Source organism: Homo sapiens, chromosome 7 (genome assembly GCF_000001405.40).
Source record: "Homo sapiens chromosome 7, GRCh38.p14 Primary Assembly".
Lineage (NCBI taxonomy): Eukaryota > Metazoa > Chordata > Mammalia > Primates > Hominidae > Homo > Homo sapiens.
Window position 1 is genome coordinate 5898605 of NC_000007.14, and position 27965 is coordinate 5926569.

Sequence of the window (27965 nt, forward strand, 5' to 3'; positions counted from 1 at the left end):
GGAAAACACAAACTCGGCCAGGAAACAGCCACCCGGGGGTGCCTGAAGAGGACGCTGCGAGGCGGATTCTTTTTCCGGGCCTGCGGCGAGCGCTTCCGGGGCGGTGGCGACGGAGGCGGAAGTGCGGTGTTTTAGCCGGTGGCTGCTGTCTCTGGGCGGGCCGTGGGAGGCTCCCGAGGTGGGGGCCGGGGCGGGATGGCTGCAGCGGCGGCCGGGGCCGGGAGCGGGCCCTGGGCGGCCCAGGAGAAGCAGTTCCCGCCGGCGCTGCTGAGTTTCTTCATCTACAACCCGCGCTTCGGGCCGCGCGAAGGACAGGTATGCGGAGGGGGCGGCGCGCGGGCGGGCGGCGCCGGTGTTCCCCGGGAAGGTGGCCCTGTGGTTCTGCCCACCTCGAGGGGCACTGACCTAGCCTGCATTGTGCCAGGTGCGAGTCCGGGCAGGGGGCTGCGGCGGGGACCTGACAGCAGGCAGGGACCGCTTCAGGTCCTAGGTCGATGGAATAAAGCCCCGTCGGGTCTATATCACTCCACACCCCAGGTTGAGGCTCTTTGCGCTTTGCTTTGCGTCAGTTCTGGGAAATTAAAATTGAACTTGGCTTTGTTAAGTGGGTAGTCCCCAACTAGAAGCGTGGAACCAGGGTGGCAGACGCTAGCCTTCAAATGATGCAAGCCTGGAGGTCCCTGTAATAGTTTTCGCCCAAATGAGGAAATAAATTAATTTCGGGAGGGGGGTGTGTGTGTGTGTGTGTGTGTGTGTGTGTGTGTGTGTGTGTGTGTGTGGTTTTTCTGAGGTGGGGACGGCGACTTTCTCAAAGGATGTCCGGAGCTGTGTTTTGTTTCCAGCAAGTCAGACTTCTGTTAAAGACTGTCCAGGCTGGGCGCTGTGACTCACGCCTGTAATCCCAGCACTTTAGGAGGCCGAGATGGGAGGATTGCTTGAGGCCAGGGGTTCCAGACCAGCCTGGGCAACATAGCAAGACCCCCAACTCTACAAAAAAAAAAAAAATTGAAAAGTGAGCCGGGCGTGGTGGCACGCACCTGTATTTCCAGTTACTCAGGAGGCTGAGGCCAGAGGATCGCTTGAGCCCAAGTGATTGAGGCTGCAGGTGAGCTGTAATAGCGCCACTGCACTACAGCCTGGGCAGCACAGACCCCATCTCCAGAAAAAGAAAAAAAAGCAACTTGTCAGTTCAAATGGCTGGGAACTGACTGGATTTAATTTTCAGGGAGCTATGTGTCTGCAGATGGGCACACCTTTATTTCTTACAAGCATTGGTGTATTACAAATTAGCACTAGGAAAGAAACCTAGAGACTTGAGTTTTCATAAAAATTACCTGGTGCTACTTCAGATGTGACTTACTGACTATCGAAATTGCCTTTCTGACTGGTGGGCAGTATTTGCACAATGATGAGATCATTCCTGTTCTTCTTCTTATTTTAAATAATAGAGACGTCTCACTGTGTTGCCATGCTGGTCTTGAACTCCTGAGCTCAAGTGATCCTCCCGCCTCAGCCTCTGAAAATACTAGGATTACAATTCCTGTTTTTCTAAAACCGGTTTTTGTTTTGTTTTGTCATTAGCATGTGTGACACAAGAGGTCGACATTGAACTTAGCGTTTTCAATAGCTAAGATGAAATGTTTCTATTCATGTTGTGCTTCTGTTTCCTCATGTTTCAGGAGGAAAATAAGATTTTATTTTATCATCCAAATGAGGTAGAAAAGAATGAGAAGATTAGAAATGTCGGATTGTGTGAAGCTATTGTACAGTTTACAAGGTAATACCTCTAAGTGTGCTTTTAGCGTTCAGTGAATTCTTAAAACTGCTGCTGGAGAATTGTCCCAAACATATTTTTTTAACCTTTGTAGGACATTTAGCCCATCAAAACCTGCAAAATCTTTACATACACAGAAGAACAGACAGTTCTTCAATGAACCAGAAGAAAATTTCTGGATGGTCATGGTATTTACATACACAGTGTATCTTTCTGAAATTGTATGGTGAAGTTATGGGTGATCTTTACTGTTCAGAATTTAGGAAAGTTCTCTGGCTGTTGCATCCAAGTAAAATTAAAATAAAATTGGTTGCAATTTTAAAATCAAGTTCTTCCTATTTGCTTTATTCATTCTTGGGGCTGTTTTAAGAAGCTATGTTTCTGATGCTGTAGCATGTTCAAAGTTTTTAAATTAAGGCAAAATAAACATGGTCTAATGAATTCATTGTATAATTTCAGTTTATCAAACTTTGTAGGTTGTTCGGAATCCTATAATTGAAAAACAGAGTAAAGATGGAAAACCAGTTATTGAATATCAAGAGGAGGAGTTGTTGGTAATGTGTCATTGTTTGTTTATTTATTTATTTTTTTAAATGTATTGCTGAGTATGTTGAATGCCTTACTTGGTCGGATTTAAACTAGGAGGCTTTTGCAGAAGTTTCTCGGGGTATATAGCAAAGGTTTATGTTTATCATTTACATGAGCACAATCTTTTTAAAATGTATATGCACCCAATCTCACTAATACCTTCTACTCTTCATTTATATTGAAAGCCCTCCTAAAGTAAGGCTTACTGATTCACAAATTAGAGTTTAAACACTTCTGGCTGGGAACAGTGGCTCACACCTGTAATCCTAGTACTTTGGGAGGTCAAGGCAGGCAGATTACTTGAGGTCAGGGGTCCGAGACCAGCCTGGCCAATATGGCGGAACCCTGTCTCTACTAAAACTACAAAAACTGGCCAGGGATGGTGGCGCACACCTGTCATCCCGGCTTCTCAGGAGGCTGAGGCAGGAGAATCGCTTGAACCGGGGACGCAAATGTTGCAGTGAGCCAAGATTGTACCACTGCGCTCCAGCCTGGACAACAGAGCGAGACTCCATCTCAAAAAAAAAAAAAAAAGAACGCAAACACTTTTTTTTCAGCACGCAACTATTGTGGGACAAAGTTTATAAACATTATACTGTTTGGCCAAGAGTTAGTGTACCTTTGCCATCTATCCAGTAGACATTGTTTTTCCCTTGAACTGAGCTGTGTGCTGTGTTTTCGCGTCTGCAGGACAAGGTTTATAGCTCGGTGCTGCGGCAGTGCTACAGCATGTACAAGGTAAGCGTGGCGTTCTTTCTCAACTCAGAGTCCAGCCACTTACCCCTATCTCTAGGCTCCAGGGTTGTTTAAAGAGAAATCTGTAAATGACTGCAAAGTGACTCTGTATTTGTCTTAGAGAAGAAAATAATGAGGCCTTTGAAACAGGTAGTGAGGTTTATGCCTACATTTATTCAGTAAGTATTGAACTCCCTTCTCTTTTCTCAGCCTTATAGTAGGAATGTGTCCCCATTGATGAAAAAGTGTGTCTATGTGCTCAAGGAATGTACAGAATGCAGATAATTTTATGATTTAAAAGTTTCAGTGAGGCAGGGCACAGTGGATCACACCTGTAATTTCAGCATTCTGGGAGGCTAAGGTGGGAGGATTGCTTGAGCCCAGGAGTTCAGGACCAGTCTGGGCAATATAGCAAGAACCCATCTCTACAAAAAATTTTTATAAAAGTTAGCCAGGTATCATGGTGCATGCCTGTAGTCCCAGCTACCTGGGAGGCTGAGGTGGGAGGATCGCTCGCGCCTTGGAGGTCGAGGCTGCAGTGAACTGTGATTGCACCACTGCACTCTACCCTGGGCAACAGAGCGAGATTCCATCTCAAAAAAAAAAAAAAAAAGGATAAAAAGTTTGGTGATTCCATTTATTAACAGAACACTGAAAAATAAAAAAACAGAAATGTGGGTGATATTATGTATGTAAATTGAAACTTCAGGGTAAGTTGAAATTTTTGAAAGATGCCTAGAGCAATTAGGTGGTTTCATAAATAAGACAGCATCACTTAACAGTATTTTTTGTAACTTACATTTTTAACTCAAGTTTTCTCATGTAAATATTCTCTGTTGGAAAGAACTGGGAGATTTAATGAGCTGAATTAATAATCTAAAGGAAAAAAAGAACTTGTTATACTGAAAAAGTGAGCATAGGAAACTGATTTTTTTTCCTGCAATCTTTTACCTCACTAGCTTTTTAATGGTACATTTCTGAAAGCCATGGAAGACGGAGGCGTCAAGCTTCTGAAAGAAAGATTAGAGAAATTCTTCCATCGGGTAAGTATTTTGAATTTCATTTATAACTTTAGTAAGCATTCAGCAGGTTTTTAGAGAAATATAGACAGACAAGTTTGTTTCTTATATACAAAAAACCCAGAACTTGAAAGTGGCAAAGAGCCTGAGACAGACCGTCGCAAAACTGGAGCAGCGAGGAAACGCATGAGGCTTGTGCTCTGGAACCTTCCCTCCAGCTGTGGTGTAAGGCAGAGCTTCCTGCGTTTGCCCGGGGCTCTTAAAGGGTCCTGGAGACATCGTTTGGCCTCCCTGTGTTTTACCTGCATCTGTCCTTCTGGGCTTACTCAGCAGCCATCTTTTGTGTGATAGATTAGTTGATAAGGAAAACTTAATTATTGGAGTTGCACAATCTCAGGGATTGGTTCTGTTCACTAAACGGGCGTGAACCGTCTTGATGTAGGTAAGAGTTACTGGCCTTGACAGACTTTGTCAGATTAGCGATTGGGGAGATTTGTTCCAAGTGCTGTCCTCTTTCGTTGTAATTGAATTTTGCATGTTTCACCCTACCTTGTCAAGCTCAGTTTATCTTTTTTTTAAAAGGAAACAAAGAGACAGGGTCTTGTCTTGGTTGTTTTGCCCAGGCTGGTTTCAAGCGATCTTCCCTCCTTGGCCTCCCAAAGTGCTGGGGTTAAAGGCATGAGCCAACTCGCCCAGCCTAGTTTATCTCGAAGCAACAATTCTCAATTTATTTTCTTCTGAAAATACCTTCTGTATCTATTTTTGAATTCGACTTTCTAAAACAGCTTTCATAGCTATTTTTGAATTTTTTTGTTTCTCTGAATTACTTTTCTTTGTTTTGTCATTTTAATGACCACAGTTATCCACTCGCATATTATCTCCTGGTTTCTGTTCTTGTCCTCATTTCTCTCTTACCCATCAACATATGGATAGAACTGTTGTCCTGAGTACATATCATTTAGACATGATTTTAGTATAAGATGGCACTCTTGGCTGGGTGTGGTGGCTTACGCCTGTGATCCCACCACTTTGGGAGGCCGATGCGGGCAGATCTTGAGGTCATGAGTTCGAGACCAGCCTGGCCAACATGGTGAAACCTCATCTCTACTAAAAAATACCAAAAAACTAGCTGGGCGTGGTGGCGCACGCCTGTAATCCCAGCTATTCTGGAGGCTGAGGCAGGAGAATCGCTTGAACCCCGGAGGCGAGGTTGCAGTGAGCCGAGATCACACCGCTGCACTCCAGCCTGGGTGACAGACCAAGACTCCATCTCGGGGGGGGAAATAAAGATGGCACTCTCTGTAGTATTAATGGATAGATCCCTCATTAGGTTAGTCTAATTTGAAGAGCATTAAGGCAGGGAGTTAATTTTTTTTTTTTTTTTTTTTTGAGACAGAATCTTACTCTTGTCACCCAGGCTAGAGTGCAATGGTGTGATCTTGGCTCACTGCAACCTTAGTCTCCCAAGTTCAAGTGATTCTCCTGTCTCAGCCTCCTGAATAGTTGGGATTACAGGCTACCACGCCCGGCTAATGTTGTAATTTTATTAGAGACGGGGTTTTGTCATGTTGGCGAGGCTGGTCTCAAACTCCTGACCTCAAGTGATGTGCCCGCCTTGGCCTCCCAAAGGGCTGGGATTACAGGCGCGAGCCGCTGTGCCTGGCCAGGAATTAAAAACTTGAAAGTGCTAGCTGGGCACAGTGGCTCATGCCTGTATTCCCAGCGCTTTGGGACGCCTAGACACGAGAATCACGGAGGCCAGAAGTTCAAGACCAGCCTAGGCAACATAGCAAGACTCTGTCTATACCAAAAAAAAAAAAAAAAATTTTTGGCCAGGCGTGGTGGCTCACACCTCTAATCCCAGCACTTTGGGAGGCCGAGGCAGGCAGATCACGAGTCAGGAGATTGAGACCATCCTGGCTAACATGGTGAAACCCCATCTCTACTAAAAATGGAAAAAAATAGCTGGGCATGGTGGCAGGCGCCTGTAGTCCCAGCTGCTCAGGAGGCTGAGGCAGGAGAATGGTGTGAACCTGGAAGGCGGAGCTTGCAGTGAGCTGAGATCGCACCACTGCACTCCAGCCTGGATGACAGAGCAAGACTCTGTCACAAAAAAATAAATTTAAAGCAGTAAAACACAATACTGAATAAACATTAAGTAGATATGTTTGAACTTTGTATCTTGGAATTGGTACTGAGACTGAGTTGGCACTCAGTTACCCATGTCTTCACCACGGCCTCATTGTTGCGCTGTTTGCTAGTATGTAATTGTACCATAAATGTGAGTCTGACATAAGATTATTTTCAGTTATCAAGGAGCATTATATTCAGTGTACTATTAGTAAATTTTATGCCTTATTTTTTTTCCCACAGTATTTGCAAACGCTACATTTGCAGTCATGTGACCTACTTGACATTTTTGGTGGAATCAGCTTCTTCCCGTTGGATAAAATGACTTATTTGAAAATCCAGTCCTTTATTAATAGAATGGAGGAAAGCCTGAATATAGTCAAATACACTGCTTTTCTCTATAACGATCAGCTCATCTGGTAGGTACACCCCGAGGCATGGTATTAAAAGAAGAAATTAAGATAATAAAAACAGCAGTGACTGGATTGATGACAGGTTGTCAAACAGGAACTTGCAGCGGGGAGGATGGGTAGGAAGCATCTTCATAGATATTGTCAAAATAAAGCAGTGATTATTTAAAGCAGAACTAGGGTGATTTGGGTTCAAATTTCCAAGCAGAGGAGTTTAAAACTGGTTGCATGAAAGATGAAAGGCTGGGCACGGTGGCTCACACCTGTAATCTTAGCACTTTGGGAGGCTGAGGCGGGTGAATCACGAGGTCAGGAGTTGGAGACCAGCCTGGTCAACATAGTGAAACCCTGTCTCTACTAAAAATACAAAAAGTAGCTGGGCGTGGTGGTGCATGCCTGTAATCCCAGCTACTCAGGAGGCTGAGGCAGGAGAATCACTTGAACCCGGGAGGCGGAGGTTGCAGTGAGCCGAGATGGCACCACTGTACCCCAGCCTGGCAACAGAGAGAGACTCTGTCTCCAAAAAAAAAAAAAAAAAAAAAAAAAAGAGAAAATGTTCCTATCAAGTAAGGTTTAGGAATCCTGTTTTTATTTTGGAGTTTTTTTTTTTTTCTGAAATGATAAAAGCAGAATTTTTATACCTTTTTTTTTTTTTTTCTTTCTTATAGAGACGGGGTTTACTGTGTTGCCCAGGCTGGTCTCAAACTCCTGGCCTCAAGCGATCCACCCGCCTCAGCCTCCCAAAGTGCTGGGATTACAGGCACGAGCCACTGCACCTACTTTCTTTTAAAGAAACTAGATTTCTTTTTTTTTAATCCAAGAAATCCAAAGTGTTATATAAACCAGGAAATTACCTGCTATCGTGAAACTAGGTTTGTGTCCTGCAGTAGGAACAACGTGGGCACAAGACTGCCCAGCATATGTGACCCCTGAGAGCTGGGTGGCAACCGAGGTTGTGCACATTTGGCCTAGAGTAGGTGGACAGAAGTCATCAAGGCTTGCAGCTGTTCTGGGACCCTCAAGTTTTATGTTCCCGTTGACTAGAGCCCACTTTCTTTCTTTCTTTTTTTTTTTTTTTTTTGAGACGGAGTCTCACTCTGTTGCCAGGCTGGAGTACAGTGGCGCGATCTTGGCTCACTGCAACTTCCCCTTCCTGGGTTCAAGCGATTCTCCTGCCTCAGCCTCCCAAGTAGCTGGGATTACAGGCATATGCCACCATGCCCGGCTAATTTTTGTATTTTCAGTACAGACAAGGTTTTACCATGTTGGCCAGGCTGGTCCTAAACCCCTGACCTCAGGTGATTCCCCTGCATAGGCCTCCCAAGGTGCCTCGATTACAGGTGTGAGCCACTGCACCTGGCCTAGCCCAGTTTCTTAATTAGGGGTGTGGCCATATGGTACTACTATAAGGTAAATTCAGCTAATAGAAAAGGCAAAACTAGTTCCCCTAAAATTTACCTTCCCTGCCAAAATCTTGTAGCTCCATTTTAAGAAGAGAAACAAGTTACTGTAAAGAAATTTGAATCCAGTTAATAAACAACTTGGTGGGTTTCCACATGAACTTTATCTCCTAGGAAGACAACAGAAATTTCGGGTGAAACCCATCTACTTTTTTTTTTGTTTTTGAGATGGAGTCGCTTTCTGTTGCCCAGGCTGGAGTGCAGTGGCATGATCTTGGCTTGCTGCAACCCCTGCCTCCTGGGTTCAAGCAATTCTCCTGCCTCAGCCTCCCGAGTAGCTGGGATTACAGGTGCATACCACAACACCCAGCTAATTTTTTTGTAGAGATGGGGTTTTACCATGTTGGCCAGGCTGGTCTCGAACTCCTGACCTCAAAGGATCCGCCCACCTTGGCCTCCCAGTGCTGGGATTACAGGTGTGAGCCACTGTGCCCCGCCTCCACCTACTTTCTAATTTGACAAATAGTTTATCAGGCAACCTTACACTGTACTGACTCAGCTATAGTTGCTTTCTGTGATATGTACACAATGTTACTAAAGTGAAATTCTGCTGTGAAATGTAGGAGATGGGAGGCTAGTTGTGCTTCTGTAGCATCAGGTCTGCAGAGGGATGGCTCCTCCACAGATGGAAATGACAGGACGTGCTTGCAAGTCACACGCAGCCACAGCGATAGGGAGATGTCATGTGACAAGCCAGAATCCAGCAGTAGTGGCCCATGGCCTTGCTTCCACCAAAAAGAGAAGGGTAGCTGAGATTCTGATCTCTGGGACAGAACACAAGCCCCGCCATGGGTGCAAACTCCTGAGAGTGAGGAAGAGGGAAGGCTTAGAGCAGAGGGTCTTCCAGGAGCTCATTCTGGGAGACCCTGGAGCCAGAGTGACCAGCAGGGTTGGCCCTTTGAAGCCTGGAGTCACAGGACAATCTGGCGCCCAGCTCTGGGGATCCTGTTGGCATCGTCATCTTGGAATAGCATCTGAGGGGTTGAGCAGGGCACAGCTCTGGTGGCTGCACAGAACTGTTCTGTTGTCACCTCCAGTGTGCTCGTGGGGAAAGGTCAGTCCCAGGAAGTAGCAACAAAAATAACCTTCAAGCAAAACAGGCGCCAATGCTTACACCTGTCATCCCAGCACTTTGGGAGGCTGAGGCAGGAGGATCACTTGAGACCAGGAGTTCAAGACCAGCCTGGGCAGCATAGTGAGACTGTATCTACAAAAAATGGAAAAAAAAAAAAATAGCTGGGCATTGTGGTGTGCACTTAGAGTCCCAACTACAGAGACTACAGAGGTTGAGGCTGGAGAATCACTTGAGCCTGGAAGTTTGAGGTTGCAGTGAGCTATGATAGCACCACTGTACTCCAGCCTGGGTGACAGAGCAAGACCCTGTCTAAGAAAAAGAAAAACAGCACGTTTTGACGGAATTGCTTATTCCAAAGCTGTTATATTAAATACCAAAAAGACTTTTAAGCCAGGCGTGGTGCACATACCTATAGTCCCAGCTACTGGGGAGGAGGAGGCAGAAGGATCGCTTGAGCCAGGAGTTACTTGGAGACCAGCCTGGACAATATAATGAGGCTCTGTCTCTACCAAAAAGTGGAAAAAAAAACTTGTCACAAGCAGAGTATATATTACCCTTATGTATTTACTTAGTATATTGCTTTGATTTTTTTTTTTTGAGACTGAGTCTCATTGGCTTGGTTGCCCAGGCTAGAGTGCAGTGATGTGATCTCAGCTCACTTCAACCTGCGCCTCCCAGGTTCAAGCGATTCTCATGCCTCAGTCTCCCAAGTAGCTGGGATTAGAGGTGTGTGCTATCAGGCCTAGCAAATTTTTATATTTTTTAGTAGAGACGGTGTTTCGCCATGTTGGCCAGGCTGGTGTTGAACCCCTGACCTTAGGTGATCTGCTCACCTTGGCTTCCCCAAGTGCTGGGATTACAGGTGTGAGCTTCCGCGCCCGACCACCTTCACGGTATTTCAGTGATCTTGAATAGAAAACGCCCAGATCCAGCCTCATTGTCTGTCTCCTTTTAAAAAACCGGTTCCAGAGTCTGATACCTGCTAGTTTCTCTGTGCTTTTTCCATGTGCTGCTCCTTCCTGCCTCATTTCAGATCAGGTGGTTTGCCTGAAAGCTTGTTTTTCTCCTCCTCCTCTTTCTTCACCGAAGATCCGGAGAATTAAAATCCATGTACATTTCTGAGACCTAGGATCACGTTCCCTGTCTACAGCATACCCATATTTTCCCAGGGGACTAGGGGAGAGAATGTGGCATTACCATATAACCCAGGAAGCTAAGAGACATCTGCTCCTAAAATGAAACAGTGTGGCTTTGGAGGTTTCCTGCATAATCCTACACGGAATTCAACCAGCGAGTCCAATCCCTTGTGACTTTTTTTTTTTTTTTATCTCAAATGGCATGTAAAATACAGGACTGTAGGAGTAGCCTTTTGCAGGTCAGGATAAAGTTCCAGTGCCTGGACTCAAGTTTAACCCTTTACCTTCCTTAACTTCGCAGTCAGGTGGTGAGCCTCTTGATATAATGTTAAAGAGAAAAGCACCAGTAGTCCCAGCTACTCAGGAGGCTGAGGTGGGAGGTTCGCTTGAGCCTGGGAATCGGTGGCTGCAGCAAGCTGTGGTCACACCACTGTAATCCAGCCTGGGCGACAGACGAGACTCATCTCTTGAAAAATGAAAAAAGATGAGGCCAGGCACAGTGGCTCACATATGTAATCCCAGCACTTTAGGAGGCTGAGGCGGGAGCACTGCTTGAGTCCAGCAGTTCGAAACCAGCCTGGCAACGTAGCAAGACCCCCATCTCTACATAAAATACAAAAATTAGCTGATGGTGGCGCATGCCTGTAGTCCCAGCTAGTCTGGAGGCTGAGATGGGAGGACCGCTTGAGCCCTGGAGGCCAAGGCTGCAGTGAGCCATGATCGCACCACTGCTTCCAGCCTGGGTGACAGAGCAAGACCTTGTCTCAAAAAAAAAAAGAAAAAAAAATTTTTTTTAATAAAAAATGAGTTTTATCCAGGGCTTCAAATTCTTTGGAAAAGTTTGACAAAGTATACCACGTAAATTCAGATTTACCTCAATGCTAAGAATTATGTTTAGGAAAAAGGAAACTCATTTTGATCTCAGGTACAAAAATAGATTGCTTTGAGTTTTAAGTAGCTTTAGACTTTAAAAAGTTAGAATTTATTCTGTGTTACTAAAAATGACTTGAAAAAAAAATTTTTGTTTAATGAGCTTTATCACAGCAGTGGAAAGACAGAAGACAGTTCCAAACGTTTAACCCAGTGCTTTTCTGTTGTTGCAGGAGTGGATTAGAACAAGATGACATGAGAATTTTATACAAATACCTTACCACCTCCCTTTTTCCAAGGCACATCGAACCTGAGGTATGATGGGTACCATAGCTGCGCACAATTACATGCAGGGGCACAGAGAGGGCAGGTGGAGTGAGATGGTGGTGCATGGGGGCGTTTCTGATCGTTTCTGATGTATGTTTTGTCTTACTGTGATATTTGTGTCACTGTATATCAATTAGCACAGAAAACCACATGCAGCTCTCCTCCAGTATGTGACATTCAGATGTGATACAGAAAGCATCGTTTTGTGTGTCTGTGTGTTGGTTTTTTTGTGTGTGTTTTTGTTTGTTTGGTTTTTGAGACGGAGTCTCGAACTTTCGCCTGGGATGGAGAGGTTCAAGCAATTCTCCTTGCCTCGGCCTCCCAAGTACCTGGGATTACAGGTGCCTGCCACCACGCCCAGCTAATTTTTTTGTATTTTTAGTAGAGACAGGTTTCACTATGTTGGCCAGGCTGGTCTCGAACTCCTGACCTTGTGATCTGCCCACCTTGGCCTCCCAAAGTGCTGGGATTACAGGCGTGAGCCACCGCCCCCAGTCCACAAGCATGTTTTTAAGAGGAGTGAGTCATTGAGTAGAGGAAAATTGGATTTTACTTTACTTTTAATTTATGTATTTTATTTTATTTATTTATTTATTTATTTATTTATTTATTTATTTATTTATTGGGACAGAGTTTTGTTCTTTTCGCCCAGGCTGGAGTGCAGTAGTGCAATCTCAGCTCACTGCAACTTCCGCTTCCTGGATTCAAACAATTCTCCGGCCTCAGGCTCCCGAGTAGCTGAGATTATAGGCACCTGCCACCATGCCCGGCTAATTTTTATATTTTTAGTAGAGACGGAGTTTCACCATGTTGGCCAGGCTGGTCTCGAACTCCTGACCTCAGGTGATTGACCCGCCACAGCCTTCCAAAGTGCTGGGATTACAGGCGTGAGCTACTGCTCCTGGCCAAAAAATTGGATTTTAGATCGGGTTCTAGGAACCTTTAAAATGCCAGTGATCTTTAAAACAATCGACTTGTGTAGTCTTTTCCTCTATCAACAGGAGACCTAATTTTCAGTAGATGTTTTAGTGCCTACCCGGCTTTCCACTCTAGTACTTAATTTCCCGGTTTCCTGCAGAGAACTTTTAAATGATATCACTGTGTTCTCCCCAAAGTATTTTCAGAGCTTAACATACAAAAATCATTTTGGCTCAGTTGAACTCACTCTCTTCGCTTGTTCGTTCCCTCCCTCTTGTCCTCCTGCTTTCCAAGTTTTTTTTTAAGAGACGAGGTCTCACTTTGTTGACTCGCATGGTCTCAAACTCCTGGGCTCAAGCGGTCGTGTCACCTCAGCCTCCCAAGTAGCTGAGACTACAGGTGTGTGCCACCACACCTGGCTAATTTTTTGTAGAGATGGGATCTCGTCATGTTGCCCAGGCTATTCTCAAACTCCTGGGCTCAAGTAATCTGCCTGCCTTGGCCTCCCAAAGTGCTGGGATTATAGGCATGAGCCACCTCACCTGGCCAAAAATTTAAAAACTAGCCAGGTTTGGTCACACATGCCTCTATCAGGAGGCTGAGGTGGGAGGATTGCTTGAGCCTAGGAGTTCAAGGCTGCAGTGAGCCATGATCATGCTGCACGCATTCCAGCCTGGGCAACAGAACAAGATCCTGTCTCTAAAAGAAAAAGACAAATGGCATGGAACCAATTAGTAGATAATGCTGTTTTTCAAAGCTTGGAAAATAAATAAAAAGTCTGATAAGTCATTCTCAACATTAAATGTATTTGCAGTTAGCAGGAAGGGATTCTCCAATAAGAGCAGAAATGCCAGGAAATCTTCAACACTATGGAAGGTAGGACTTCTGTTCTTTGATTTATGATACTGGGTTTTCTTTCTTTTTTGACTCAGAGTCTGGCTCTGTTACCCAGGCTGGAGAGCAGTGGCAAGATCTCCGCTCACTGCAACCTCCGCCTCCCCGGGCTCAAGTGACTGTCATGCCTCAGCCTCCCAAGTAGCTGGAACTACAGGCATGAGCCACTATGCCTGGGTAATTCATTTTGTATTTTTAGTAGAAACAGGGTTTCATCATGTTGGCCAGGCTGGTCTTGAACTCCTGACTTCAAGTGATCCACCTGCCTTGGCCTCCCAAAGTGCTGGGATTACAGGTGTGATCCACCATGCGTGGCCTATTATCTTTTTGGTAAAGATAATATGGACATTGAAATATCTTTGTGCCATCTGATTGACAGTAATCAACAAAGGAAAGTTTGTTGTTTCCAATGAGTTAAAACTTACTTCAGCATACCCTTTTTTTTTTTTTTTTTTTTTTTTTTTTTTTTTGAGATGGAGTGTCTCTCTGTCGCTCAGGCTGGAGTGTGGAGTACAGTGGCACGATCTCAGCTCACTGCAGCCTCCATCTCCTAGGTTCAAGCAATTCCCCTGCCTCAGCCTCTTGAGTAGCTGGGATTGCAGGTGCCCACCACCACGACCAGCTAATTTTTGTAGTTTTAGTAGAGACGAGGTTTTGCCATGTTGGCCAGGCTGCCCTTGAACTCCTGACTTCAGGTGATCCACCCAGCTCAGCCTCCCAAAGTGCTGGGATTACAGGCATGAGCCACCACGCCCAGCCAGCATATTCTGATATGGTGTTTGCCAAATAGCACCTGGCATCAAAAGCAACTGGTGTGTATGAAGTGGGAGTGTGTTCTGTTTCTAGATTCCTGATTCTCCTTCACCTCGTTGAATCAAGTCATGTCTGTTCTTGCTTTTAAGATTTCTTACCGGACCCTTGAACCTCAATGATCCAGATGCAAAATGCAGATTCCCCAAAATTTTTGTAAATACAGATGACACTTATGAAGAGCTCCATTTAATCGTTTATAAGGTAACAACTGTTTTCCTTCCAGCGTTAATGATTGTGCTGAAGTGGATCTTTCTTGCATGTGTACACGAGTGCATGTGCAAACCTCTTAAATGTTTCTTGGAAAAGATATTGGAAGTTCTGATTATGGTAAAACTCAAAATGGGTGTTCTTCCAGCGTAATAAGTTTATTTTCAGCTCCTTTTAAACAGTTTTGTTATTAGTGAAAGAGGAACTGTTTAAGATTGTGATTTATAAACGTGTGAAGTCTCACGTGCTCTCAAACCAAAGGCTGTCAGAGGTTGGTGCTGCCTGTTCTCGAAATGGCTCTGGATGGGGGCCGTAGCCACGTGTCTGTGCATATGCTGCTTTTGCTCTGATTTTAAAGCTGTAGGCTTGCTAATTCCATAAGGATTGTATTTTGTTTCTGTCAGGACATGGTCTTGTAAGGATATGTACTCAGGTTGTGTTTCTAATTAAAGGCAGTTTTTGATTCAAGAAAGAAGACGGAGCATGTGCACGTGTTTCTCCTCTTTCCTGCCTGAGGCTGTGGAGAAGTTTTCATTTATAAAGGCTCAGAAATGATGCCGTGGGGGAACAGGAAGGAGCGGGATGTGTCAGGATGAGGGAGTCCTGTCCCTCTCTGGAAGGTAGACGGGACTTGTAAACCATGCCTGATAGAGGGCGGTGCCGGAGCAGGCCTGGAATATGAGTGGCAACCCTGTGCTAAGGCAAGGACCCACAGCCCTGTGGAAGCCCAGAGAGGCTCCTGACTTGGAGGAGGTCACCTGAGGAGTCAGAGTGGGGCCTGGGCCTGGAAAGGTGGGGAAGGGAAGTGAAGTGTGGCAGAGAGGCCAGTCAGCCTCCCCTTCCCCCATCCTTGCACAGACAGGCCCACAGCTGAGCATCCATCCCTGGGTGACAATCGAGGGTCTGTTTAAAGAAAGGAAACAGTCTGAAGAGACCCAGAGTGGCTAACGTGGATGTCTGCCCCTGAGAATGAGGCCCTGCTCATTCTGGCATTTCTTTCTCCCAGACAGAACTGAGACCTTCATCCTACACTCAGAGTGAAGCCTCCATCTCTGGTCAGCCTTCTGGTTCCCTCATTGTTAAATATGGCTGCAAAAACAAAACTAGAGGTCTCGAAAGAAACATGATTCCGAGGACAGACAAGAACTTTAAAAATTAGTATCCACTAATTAGAAGAGTTGTATCTATTAATATAAAATTGAAATGGGCCAGGTGCAGTCCCAGCACTTTGGGAGGCCAAGGTGGGAGGATCACTTGAGGCCAGGAGTTGGAGGCCAGCCTGGGCAACATAGTAAGACCCTGTGTCGACAGGAAAATGTTTAAAAATTAGCCAGGCATGGCAGTGCTCATGTGTAGTCCCAGCTACTCAGGAGGCTGAGGCAGGAGAACCGCTTGAGCCCAAGAGTTGGAGGCTGCAATGAGCTATGATCACACCACTGCATTCTAGCCTGGGTGACAGAGTGAAACCCTCTCAAAAATAATGAAACTGGTATCAACAGTTTCATATCCAGCACCAGACATTATGTGACAGTGGAAGAGAGACTTTCAAAGTTCTGAGAGAAAATGAATTTGAGCGTAGAGTTCTTTGCCATGCCAAGCTGTCAACCACAGATAAGACAAAAGAAAGACATTAGCCAGGGCATGGTGGCTCATGCCTATATCCCAACACTTTGGGAGGCCAAGGTGGGCGGATCACCTGAGGTCTGGAGTTCGAGACCAGCCTGGCCAACATGGGGAAACCCTGTCTCTACTAAAAATACAAAAAATCAGCCAGGCGAGGTGGCACACGCCTCTAATCCCAGCTACTCCGGAGGCTGAGGCAGGAGAATCACTTGTACCCGCGAGGCGGAGGTTGCAGTGAGCTGAGCTTACGCCACTGTGCTCCAGTCTGGGCAACAGAGCAAGACTCTGTCTCAGAAAGAAAAAAAAAACACGTTCAACATGAAAAGCCTCAAAAAGTTTACCGTCATGCACCTTTCCTGAGGGTGTTACACAGGGTCATCCGTCAGCAGAATAAGTGAGCACACCAAGAAGGAACACTTGGGAATCCAGAACAGTAGTTCTCATGTGTGAGACGGTACAAGGAAATCTTGGGGTGATAAGGCTCTTCAGGTCTGCTGGCGGCACCCCACCTCCAGCAGCTCCGTGACAGCAGGAGGAGGGAGGGCTCTAGGGTTCAAGCCGCCAAGATAAAAAGATGTTTCATTCATCACATGGTGTGCTTGAGAGTCACTTAAAGTTGGGCTGTGACAGACTGGCAGGGAAGGGGAGATTGCAGGAAGAGCATACAGAAAGATGTGGTCTGAAAAAGCAAACCAAAATGTTGGAGGTGTAATTCAGAGCAGGAATTGGAGTAGGAAGAATGTCCGTTTGTGTATCGAGTGAAAGTTTGAGACCCCATCTCAAGAAAAAAATCATCCTCCTTTGAATGACCCAGGTAATGGCTGAAATCTCCATAACCCTGGTGTGTAATATGCTGTCGGCTGCATTTCTATTTTTAGAGTCAATCTACAGACATATTGTGGGGTGTGATGATGGGATTGTGGCTATGTTAAAGGGTCCTTACCTTTTTCTTAATGACTTTGAGATACAATGCACGTACCATACAACTCACCCTCGTACACTTAAAATGTACAGTTCAGTGATTTCTAGTTGCAAAGTTCATGAGTCTCCAAGACCATCCTCACTTCTGACACCCACTGCGAGTTTGGGAGTCCCCGTGACCACCTTTAGGGTAAGAGTTCTCTAGAAGTACTACAGGACTCAGAAAAGGCTTTCTACAGCAGTACCCCCGAGCCAAAGGCCATGTGTTCCAAAACCCCCGGGAGGTGCCTGAAACCGGGGACAGTACCAAACCCTTCACTTGCTGTGTTTTTTCCTGTACATACATGCCTGTGATAATGTTTATAAATTCAGTACAGTAAGCGATTAATAAGGCTGGGCGCAGTGGCTCACACCTGTAATCCCAGCACTTTGGGAGGCCGAGGCAGGCAGATCACTTGAGGCCAGGAACTTGAGACCAGCCTGGCCAGTGTGGTGAAACCCTGCCTCTACTATAGATAGAAAAATTAGCCAGGCATGGTGGCATGCACATGTAATCCAAGTTACTCAGGAGGCTGAGTCAGGAGAATCTCTTGAACTTGGGAGGCGGAGGTTGCAGTGAGCCAAGATCGTGCCACTGCACTCCAGCCTGGACAAGAGTGAGACCCCATCTCAAAACAAGTAATAGTAATCATAATTGGACGATGACACTCTACTGCAATAAAAGTCATGTGAATGCGGTTTGCTTCCCCCTTCCCTCAATATTTTATTATACTGTCCCTCACATAACAGAAACCATGGGAAACAAAACCAGGGGGAAGGAAGAATGGCGGCACTCACAGCTGCGGTTTATTACAGTGGAAGAATACAGGTTAAAATCAGCCCGGGGAAGAGGCGTGTGGGGCAGGGCGCAGGAGCCACCAATGGAAGGACCAGGAGTCCTTCTATTTGCTTTAGGTTGGTTTGGGTTGGTTTGGTTTTTTGGGTTTTTGTTTTGTTTTTTGTTTTTTTTTTTTTTGGTTTTTTGGTTTTTGAGATGGAGTCCCACTCTGGTGTGAGCTTCCGGCTGTCCTCTCCCGTTGGGGTCATGTGGACAGCCCAGTGAGTGTTTCCCCATCGAGGATGTGTGGCTGTCTCTATGGAGTGTTGACATCCAGGGAAGCTCACCTGAGCCTCGAGATCCAGAGATTTGATTGGGGGTTGGCCACAGAGACACAGCTGGCCCCACATGGCCAGCCTTAGTCTCCAGCCCTCCAGAGGTGGAGCGGGTGCTGTGCGGGCTTGGGTGTAAGGGATATTGGCCTGTAGTTTTGTTTTCTTGTGATATCTTTGGGCAATGCTGGCTTGATAAAATGTGTTGGGAAATGTTCCCTCCTATTTTTTTGGAAGACAGTGAAAAATTGGTGTTAATTCCTCTTTACATGTTTCATAGAATTCACAGTCAAGCTCTCTGCACCTGGGCTTTTCTTTGTGGCAAATTTTAAAGTTAACCATTTATGCCCAGTGTTCCATTATTGGAACACTAAGCTTGTGAGAGTTATTTATATCCTGCTGAAGGTCATTGCCAAGGTCTCATTTTTCACAAAAAAGATTTACAACCTCCAGCATAAATGGGTTAATCTCTGTACTTGTTACAGGTTTATTTTGATTTTGTTTCTTCTTGAGTCAGCTTTGGTAGTTTGTGTCTTTCTAGGAATTTGTCAGCTTCAATTAATTTATTTGATTTGTCGGCACGTGGTTTTTCATGGTATTGTAGGTAAAGCCGGATACTCCTTCGTTTTTCCTGTAAAGTCAGTAGTGATGTCTCCTCTTTCATTCCTGGTTTTAGTAATTTGAGTCTTCTCTCTTTGTTCCTTGTTGTATAGTCTAGCTAAAGGTTCTTCATACTTCTGGAATCTTCACAAGAAAAAGGAAAAGTTTTTCAATGTTGGGTCTTTTCAGAGAACAACTTTTGGTTTCATTTATTATCTCTGTGATTTTTCTCTGTTGAGTTTGTTTCTGCTCTCATGCTTTATTATTTCCTTCCATTTGCTTTAGGTTTGTTTGGGTTTTTTTGTTTTTGTTTTTGTTTTTTTTGAGACGGAGTCCTGCTCTGTCACCCAGGCTGGAGTGCAGTGGCACAGTCTCAGCTCACTGCAACCTCTGCCTCCCAGGTTCACATGATTCTCTTGCCGCAGCCTCCTGAGTAGCTGGGATTATAGGCGCACCACCACGCCCGGCTAATTTTTTTGTACTTTTAGTAGAGATGGGGTTTTGCCATGTTAGCCAGGCTGGTCTCAAACTCCTGACCTCAGGTGATCCGCCCACCTCGGCCTCCCAAAGTGCTGGGCTTACAGGTATGAGCCACCACACCCGGCCCCACTTGCTTTAGGTTTAGTTGACTCCTGTTGTCCAGGATCTTAAGACGAAAGGTCAGGTCACTGATTTGAGATCTTTCTTCTCTTGAGACAGGATTTCGCTCTCGGAAGTGGGAAGAGGTACTGGGGCAGGTGGGAATGTGAGTTCAGGAGCGGAGGCTGTGGCTGGTGGAAGGCGGCCAGCGGAGGAAATAGAATGCTATAAACCATAGAGGAGGAGGGGGAAGGCAGACGAGGGGTCACACCTGTCATGACATGAGCAGGAAGTCAGTACGATGCCCAAAGAGGATACGTTGAAGAGTTAGGATAACGCTGTTGTCTAATGACAGTGTAAAGTGGTTGCCGGGGAGGAGGGTCAGAGAACGAAATCTGTGGCTTTCATCATCAGGCCTGGTGTTCTGCTCAGCCTCTCTTAACCATACATTGCTTTGATAACTTTTAAACATTTTTGGTTATCTGTGGTCCTGGTTGTTGTCGGTTGCTAGGTCTAATGTCATAACTGTAATTACTTGCTATAATAAAGTGAGACAGGATGATATCCATTTGCTGTCTTTGTAAACGTGTGTCAATGGAAATCGTCACAGAATAATGGACAGTTTCTGCCAATTCTCTATTCTCTCTGGACTATACACAGAGAGACTAGAACAGTGAACCCCTAAGTCCCCATCACACAAGTGAATAAGATTCTGGTCTTCGTTGCTTCTCCATGTTGTGTTGTCGGGTTTGCAAGAGCATTTTAAGTCATCACGTCAGTCACGAACACTTCCCTGTGCCTCTCTGATGAGGACATCCGTGGTAACCTCCCCACTGGCGCTGTCACACCTGACAAGGTCAACAGCACTCCCCTCGCATCATGGAATGGGCAGTCTGTGTCCAGATGGCTCTAGTTGACCAAAAAGCAGCTTCTTACAGTTGACTTCTCCCCATTGACTTTGAACAGATTGTTATTATACGAAAGTCTCCTTTTTTCCACCATTTCATAACCTCTGGTTTGTTCTGTCTTCCCAGGCCATGAGTGCGGCTGTGTGCTTTATGATCGACGGTGGGTACGCGCCTTTGTCTGATTTCAGCCTAAGCTTTTTGTACTTTGCTGCATCCTATTCTTAAGTGATAAATATGTTTTGGGGGTTTCGGTTGTTTGGGCTTTTTTTGTTGGAGACGGGGTTTCACTCTTGGAGTGCAGTGGCATGATCATAGCTCACTGTAGCCTCGACCTCCTGGGTTCAAGTGATCTTCCCACCTTGGCCTCCTAAGTCGCTGGGACTGCCAGTACACACCGCCGGACCCAGCTAATGTTTTTGTGGTTGTTTGTTTAGACAGGGTCTCACTATGTTGCCCGGGCTAGTGTCAAACTCCTGGGCTCAAGCGATCCACCCATCTTAGCCTCCCAAAGTGCTGGGATTTCGGGCGTGAGCCCCCACACCCAGCCCATTAAATGATAAATGTGTTGTCATAAGCAATATAGAGGCATAGAGAGGAGCCCTGTTCCCCATCTGGGACCCCCCTGTCTCCTTAACTAGCCAGTGCTCATATTTTTTAAGTCCTAGTTTTCCCGCTAGTCAGCAGTAGAGTGTGGGCATCTTTCTGTGTCCCACCGACTGCGAGCTGGAGACAGCAGTGGTACCTCTCTCGGGGGGGTTCTGAGGATCGAATGAGGTCATGTCTGTGAAGCACCTGGCCCATGAGTGCTACGTAATGTTTGTTAAATAAACATACGACCTTCTGAGGTCTTTCTGGGGTAGGCAACCGTTTACCACCCTACAGGGTGTGCCTCGGTCAGCTTTTCACGGTGAGATAGGTCTTCGCCCTTTTTTCATCTGAAATGTAACCGGTTTTCTATCTTCTGTTTCTCTTCTATTTGAGGAGCAGAAGGGGGCCTGAGCATTCATTGTTTGTTTTCCCAGACCAGTGAAGTTTTCGTTTGAATACTGTTGTTCAGCGTCGCACAGTAAAATGAATCTTACTGGTATTTTTTGTCATGACTTGCCAGCCTCTGTCCACCCAACGTTGGATTTTTGCCGAAGACTGGACAGCATCGTTGGGCCCCAGCTCACAGTGCTGGCCTCTGACATCTGTGAACAGTTTAACATCAACAAGAGGATGTCCGGGTTTGTACTTTGCTTTCGGTTCACTTTCAGGCATTGAACGGCTTTTGAAATACACGTAGTTTTCACTTACAAATACGGGTGGTATTAACAGTCCTGTGTTCTCGTGGACTGTAGAGGATGGTGCTACGTGCCATTCAGGCCTCTGTCTGAAAGGGTCCCGGGGACAGTCACCCTGAGTGTTTCTGCCCCACGCTGGCAGCTGGGGCTGGGCCTTCTGGTAAATACCTTCCCTCAGCTCCCCCCGAATGGAACGTCCCATTTCACCAGCCCAGATTGTTACGTTCACTTGGACAGTAGTCATCGGCGTGGTCTTGGTGTGCACAGACTGAAAGCATTTTGCCTCTCGTTGTGTGAAAATGTGTAGGGGAAACTGGCTGGGATGTGGGGCACTGGGCCTGGGTACTCAGTCTGGCAGCCTGAAGTGTCTACACTGAGTGGGAGAGGCGGGATTCACTCCTCCGGCTCTCTAGACACTGAAATGTCCTTGAATTCTTTCTCCCTGGCTTTTTTTTTTTTTTTTTGAGACAAATTCCCACTCTGTCGCCCAGGCTGGAGTGTGCAGTGGCTTGATCTTGGCTCACTGCAGCCTCCGCCTCCCAGGCTCAAGCGATTCTCATGCCTCATCCTCTTGAGTAGCTGGGATTACAGGCGTGCACCACCATGCCCGGCTCCTTTTTGTATTTTTAGTAGAGACGGGGTTTCACCATGTTGGCCAGATTGGTCTTGAACTCCTGACCTCAAGTGATCCACCTGCCTCAGCCTCCCAAAGTGCTGGGATTACAGGTGTGAGCTACCGCACCCGGCCATGCTTATCTTTTCTCAATATAAAATAGTTATTATAAAGTGAAAGTGAGGCGATGGAAAGCACTTTGCGAAGTTGAAGTCCTGCTTTTAAATGGGCTCTCTACACATTTGAGAAGTTACTAAAAGGCTGTGAATTTCTGCATACGCTCATGGTCTTAATGTTCATACGTTGTTTTTTGGGTTTTTTTTTTTTTTTTTTTTAAGACAGAGTCTCAGTTGCCCAGGCTGGAGTGTGCAATGGTCTGTTCTCAGCTCACTGCAACCTCCGCCTCCCAGGTTCAAGCGATTCTCCTGCCTCAGCCTCCTGAGTAGCTGGGTGCCATCATGCCTGGCTAATTTTTGTAGAGACTGGGTTTTACCATGTTGGTCAGACTGGTCTCGAACTCCTGACCTCGTGATCCACCCACTTCGGCCTCCCAAAGTGCTGGGATGACAGGCGTGAGCCACCGCGCCCGGCCCATATGTTATTTCTGCATGGTCTTGTATAACCGTGGGCCTCTAAGAGCGCAGAAGCGAGCAAAGGTGAAAGCACCTCTAGGTTTTGTACAACAGTGTGTGGATTACTGCTGTCAACAGCTTACATCTTTGTTGCTTTTTGTTTTTATTTTTTGAGACAGAGTTTCACTCTTTCACCCAGGCTGGAGTGCAGTGGCATGATCTCAGCTCACTGCAACCTCCAGCCCCTGAGTTCATTCAAGCAATTCTCCTGCCTCAGCCTCCCGAGTAGCTGGGACTCCAGGCGTGTGCCACCACACTCAGCTAATAATTTTTGTATTTTTAGTAGAGACAGGGTTTTGCCATGTTGGCCAGGCTGGTCTTGAACTCCTGACCTCAGGTGATCCACCCACCTCGGCCTTCCAAAGTGCTAGCATTACAGGCATGAGCCACCATGCCCAGCCAACAGCTTATATCTTGACAGTGCTGCTGAATCATTGAATCCTTTGGCCGTGAAAATACCAGGTTTTCCTTTGTGAAGGAGGCAAAAGTGAGTTAAATCGGTTTGGATCATGCAGGTTATCAACTAACAGATGGAAAGTGACAAAGTGTAGTGACCATAGAGAACGTGTCACCTGTTTTGTTTTTTTGTGGGTTTGTTTTTGGAGACAGGGTCTCCTGCTGTCGCCCAGGCTGGAGTGCAGTGGTGCAATCATGGCTCACTGCAGCCTTGACCTCCCAGGCTGTAAGTGATCCTCCTACCTCAGCCTCCCCGGGAGCTAGGACTACAGGTGTGTGCCACCACGCCTGGCTAATTTTTGTATTTTTGGTAGAGGCGGGGTTTCGCCATGTGGCCTAGGCTGATCTCGAACTCCTGACCTCAAGTGATTTGCCTGCCTCAGCCTCCCAAAGTGCTGGGATTATAGGCGTGAGCCACTGCTCCTGGCCTCACAGAGTGTTTTGAGGATAGAAGCTTACACCCGATTTAAGTTCCTTGTCTACCCAGACAACTAAATTTACAACTCTTTCCAAACAGTTTTTCTTGTCATTATACTTTCCTTAACCTTAGGGAACTATGAAAACAAATTCTGGTTTTATAAGAAGTTTCTTTACATGTTCCTGGAAACTCAATCCTCCACGTTCTTTCTTTGCCTGGACGTAGAGTATTTCATGAGTACCCCATTGGTCCGGAGGTCGGATTTCTGGTACCCCCAGCCCTCCAGAACGTGGCTGCTAACCCTGAAGCAAGCAGAGGAGGCCTCTGAGCCCAGGGGCGGGGCTGTGCTCAGGCCCCATCCAGGCCCCAGGGTGGACACTGAGGGTGCAGGGAGGGGAGGGGAGGGGCCCCAGGAGCAGTGAGGCCCAGCTTTTCCCACTAGGTCCCCGAGGAGGTCACAGACTCTGACCTGGGAGGCAGCGTCGTAGCACTGCCTAGTCAGTTTAAGAAATAAAAAGGTACATCCCATTTAAAATGTTCATCAGACTGCAGTGGAAAAGGCGACTGCGTTTTACAGTGATGTCCACTGGGGATGATATGAGGGAAAGCTTCGTTACATAGTGTCGTAGGCTTCCCTCATGAGGCAGGTTAATTTCCACGGGACACTCATTCCCCGCACTGTGGGAGGAACGAGGTGTTACTCTCCTCAAGCAGGGGTCAGCAGACTTTTACGGTAAAGGACCCAATAATAAGTATCTCAGATGTCACGGGCTGTATGTAGATACGTGTTAAAACTACTCAACTGTCATTTTGGTGGGAAAGCAGACAGACAACACATGAACATGTGGCAATGGCGAGGTTCCCGTGAAACTTTGTTTAGAAAAAGAGGGCCAGGGCCGGGCGCGGGGGCTCACGCCTGTAATCCCTGCACTTTGGGAGGCCAAGGCGGGTGGATCACAAGGTCAGGAGATCGAGACCATCCTGGCCAACATGGTGAAACCCCGTCTCTACTAAAAATACAAAAATTAGCTGGGCGTGGTGGCGGGCGCCTGTAATCCCAGCTACTCAGGAGGCTGAGGCAGGAGAATCGCTTGAACCAGGGAGGCGGAGGTTGCAGTGAGCCGAGATCGTGTCACTGCACTCCAGCCTGGGCGACAGTAAGACTCCATCTCAAAAAAATTTTAAAAGAAGAATCTAGTTGTATCCGGCCCGAGTGCTACTGTCTTCGTGACATGTTTTCACAGGTCTGAGAAAGAACCCCAGTTTAAGTTTATCTACTTCAACCACATGAATCTCGCCGAGAAGAGCACAGTTCACATGAGGAAAACGCCCAGCGTGTCGCTCACTTCCGTGCACCCGGATTTAATGAAGATTCTCGGTGACATCAACAGTGACTTTACCAGGTGATTCCAGCCACTTCTCCAATCAGGCGTCCCCTTTCTAAGACGAGAAAAGACACAGAAAATCCCTTCAAGCCCTTTCCATGGGGTTCAAGCGTGAACCACCTTCATGGGCGCCGCTTCCAAACAGACCCGGGAGCCCTGAAGTCACCGGTTCCCTCGCGCGGCACTCCCTGAGCCTTTTAAATGCCACGTGCGCCCGTTCCATTTCCTGTTCTTGGTTTGGAACGCTTATTCTCACAGTCTGGCCGTATGAGTAACGAACGATTGCATTTTGACCCTCGTCTTGCAGAGTGGATGAAGATGAGGAGATCATTGTGAAGGCCATGAGTGATTACTGGGTTGTTGGAAAGAAGTCTGATCGGCGGGAGCTCTATGTTATTTTGAATCAAAAAAATGCAAACCTGATTGAAGTAAATGGTAAGTAGGATTTGGTATTTCAGGAGAATTTGAGAAGTTGTCTTTTCATTGCATTAAGAAACATGGTTAAAAAATAGGTAAATAGAACAAATCATGACTGTTGAGATTCTAAGCAGGTGCCTCTGCTCCACATTTGATCCATTTTCTGTTCCTTGGAAAACTATGACAAGACCTTCCTGTAGCACAGGAAACTTGGCAATGGCAGAAAGAAAATTATTTTCTACAATTCTAAAAAAAAAAAAAAAATGACTTTATATTAAGAAATGTCCCCCTTTTTTTGGAGACAGGTTCTCACTTTGTCACACAGGCTGGAGTGCAGTGGTGCAATCATAGCTCACCACAGCCCCCAACTCCTAGGATCAAGCAGTCCTCCCACCTCAGCCTCTAGAGTAGCTGAGACCACAGGCATGTATCACCAAGGCATGTGTCACCAGACCCAGCTAATTTCTTTTTTTTTTTTTGAAACAGAGTCTTGCTCTGTCGCACAGGCTGGGCTCAAACTCCAGGCCTCAAGTGATCCTCTGGCCTCCCAAAGAGCTGGGATTACAGGCGTGAGCCACCTTGCCCAGCCCAAAATGTCCTTTTTTAATATCCTGTGATAAAAACATATCTTTTGTAGGGAGAAGCTGCCGGGTTCACGTAGCCGTTTACAAGTATCCCTCTGTACACAGGCAGAAGGAGGCAGACATTTTCTCCTGCCTTCCCGCCAAAGCGGCCAGCCTTGCCCACTGCACGGGGTGACCCGGCAGCTGCGGTGCTGATAGCTCGGCTGCCCTGGAGAGAGGGGACCTCACCTCGGCAGAGCTGCCCCCTTGGGAGATGCCCCACGTGTACACTGTGTGGAAATTCAGTGTAAGCGTTTTTTTCCCCTTGTATCTTGGGCATACTACATTTTTCTCTTTATTAGTAATACCTGTGTTAGTCATTGTGCGCACTAGAAACATCAGTTAATGCAAGCCTGATCTAAACTGTGAATGTGGTAAGATCAAAATCCTGACCCCTCTGCGGAGCACTTGGTCTGCAGCTCAAGGTTGCTGTCCGTTTCTTTGTTGTTCCATTAGTTGTCCCAGGATGACAACCTTGTGCTTGGTGTGTGTCACCAGCCTTGTGCTTCTAACCCCCTCCCCTGGGTGTCCCGGGCACTTTGCAGTTTCTCAGGCCCCGGGCAGCAGTGTTGATAGGCTCAAAACTCCTGAGGCCTGGTAGGTTTTGTAGGTGGATTTTTTCCCCTCTTCTACTTGTTAACATTTCTTGGCTGGGCACAGTGGTTCATGCCTGTAATCCCAGCACTTTGGGAGACCAAGGTGGGCGGATCACTTGAGGTTAGGAGTTCGAGACCAGCCTGGCCAACATGGCGAAACCCTGTCTCTACCAAAAAATACAAACATTAGCAGGGCGTGGTGGTGTGCACCTGTAGTCCCAGCTACTTGGGAGGCAGAGGCTGCAGTGAGCCAAGATCACACCACTACACTCCAGCCTGGGTGACAGAGCAAGACTCTGTCTCAAACAAAAAAAAAAAAAAAAAATTCTTGCCTAGTCTTCTGGGATTTAAGGTCAAAATCAATGCAAATCTCTCTTCCTAATTTTACCCAAGAAGAATTTAATTATATATCATGTAACCTTTTAAGTGACTGCCTCTTCCTTCCTCACTGTTGTGTCCTTGTTGCAGAAGAGGTCAAGAAACTTTGTGCAACGCAGTTCAACAACATCTTCTTCTTGGATTGACGGATGACGGCTCACCGAGAGCATATCTAAAAAACACTCTGCAAACATTTGGTCACATGCAAGTTAGTGGTCATATGACGGACTGCATTCAGGACAAGGGTAAAGCAATACTTGCTTTGAAGAATCACATTTCGACTCGGTCTGCTGATCTGAGGTTTTTAGATTTTAAATATTTATGTGGAATTAATTAAAGGTAGTTGGCTATATCGCTATCATTTCATTCTTTTGACATTATGTGAATATTTTACTGGAAAATAAGACTAATAAATTGTTAAAAGTTTTTAAAATTCTGGTTTGGTGTTGAGTCTCTCTCCTGCTGCCTATTTATAGATTACACTGGCCACCAGCTCCGTGACCCAGGCTGGAATGCAATGGCTCACTGCAGCCTCAACCTCCTGAGCTCAAGCAATCCTCCCACCTCAGCCTCCCAAGAAGCTAGAACCACATGTACACACCACCACGGTCGGCTGATGTTTTAATTTTGCAGAGATGGGGGGGTCTCACTATGTTGCCCAGGCTGGTCTCGAACTCCCGTAATCCAGCCATGTAGGAAACCTGAGATGCAGTGGGCCAAGGGGTATGTTAAAACACTGTGACGAGTTCAGTGCTAAGAACTGTAATGCTCAGGAAATCTTACAGCACGTGCCATCCTAAGCCTGTGTGTGTGTCCTCGTGTCTCTCTACTTTTTCTTCTTCTTGCTGGTGATGGTCTTGCTGGATGGGGACACGGTCACATCCTCCTTGGGAGGGTCCAGTATGAGGTGAGAGGATGACACGTCTGCCGGCTCCTTGAGCACTGTGATGTCCACCTCATAGTCATGTCTCTTGGCCTCTTCCTCTCTCAAGATGAAGATGTTCAGCCTAAAAGCAAACATGAGAAGG

The 27965-nt window shown here is 46.3% G+C and overlaps 2 protein-coding genes across 12 annotated transcripts in view, besides 1 other annotated feature; one reads left to right on the top strand and one right to left on the bottom strand.

Annotated features, from left to right (window-relative positions):
• Positions 1-128: 128 nt before the first annotated feature.
• CCZ1 (CCZ1 vacuolar protein trafficking and biogenesis associated) lies at positions 129-27946 on the top strand. 2 transcript variants are annotated; one of them, NM_015622.6, is made up of 15 exons: positions 129-315; positions 1680-1777; positions 1869-1962; positions 2251-2328; positions 3053-3100; positions 4057-4140; positions 6490-6665; positions 11431-11512; positions 13257-13318; positions 14239-14350; positions 20263-20296; positions 21245-21362; positions 24783-24941; positions 25231-25358; positions 27028-27946. In NM_015622.6, the coding sequence occupies exons 1-15, from the start codon at positions 196-198 to the stop codon at positions 27081-27083; spliced, it is 1449 nt and encodes a 482-aa protein (NP_056437.4). In that variant the 5' UTR covers positions 129-195; the 3' UTR covers positions 27084-27946. The 2 variants fall into 2 exon arrangements, with proteins under 2 accessions (NP_056437.4, XP_047276421.1); XM_047420465.1 differs by lacking the exons at positions 20263-20296; positions 21245-21362; positions 25231-25358; positions 27028-27946 and having other exon boundaries at positions 24783-24860.
• Positions 23987-24496: an enhancer, noted in NCBI's record as "nonconserved acetylation island sequence 61". NCBI's record gives its function as "activates a minimal heat-shock promoter by reporter assays in Jurkat T cells {active_cell/tissue: Jurkat}" and the evidence as "EXISTENCE:reporter gene assay evidence [ECO:0000049][PMID:17135569]".
• Positions 27532-27965, bottom strand: part of RSPH10B (radial spoke head 10 homolog B) — a 44716-nt gene continuing 44282 nt past the window's right edge. For all 10 annotated transcript variants that reach the window (XM_011515208.4, XM_011515204.3, XM_024446691.2 and 7 more), the window contains one exon: positions 27532-27944. In XM_011515208.4, coding sequence (XP_011513510.1) covers positions 27764-27944 — 181 coding nt within the window. In that variant the 3' untranslated portion in view covers positions 27532-27763. The remainder of the gene's footprint in view (positions 27945-27965) is intronic.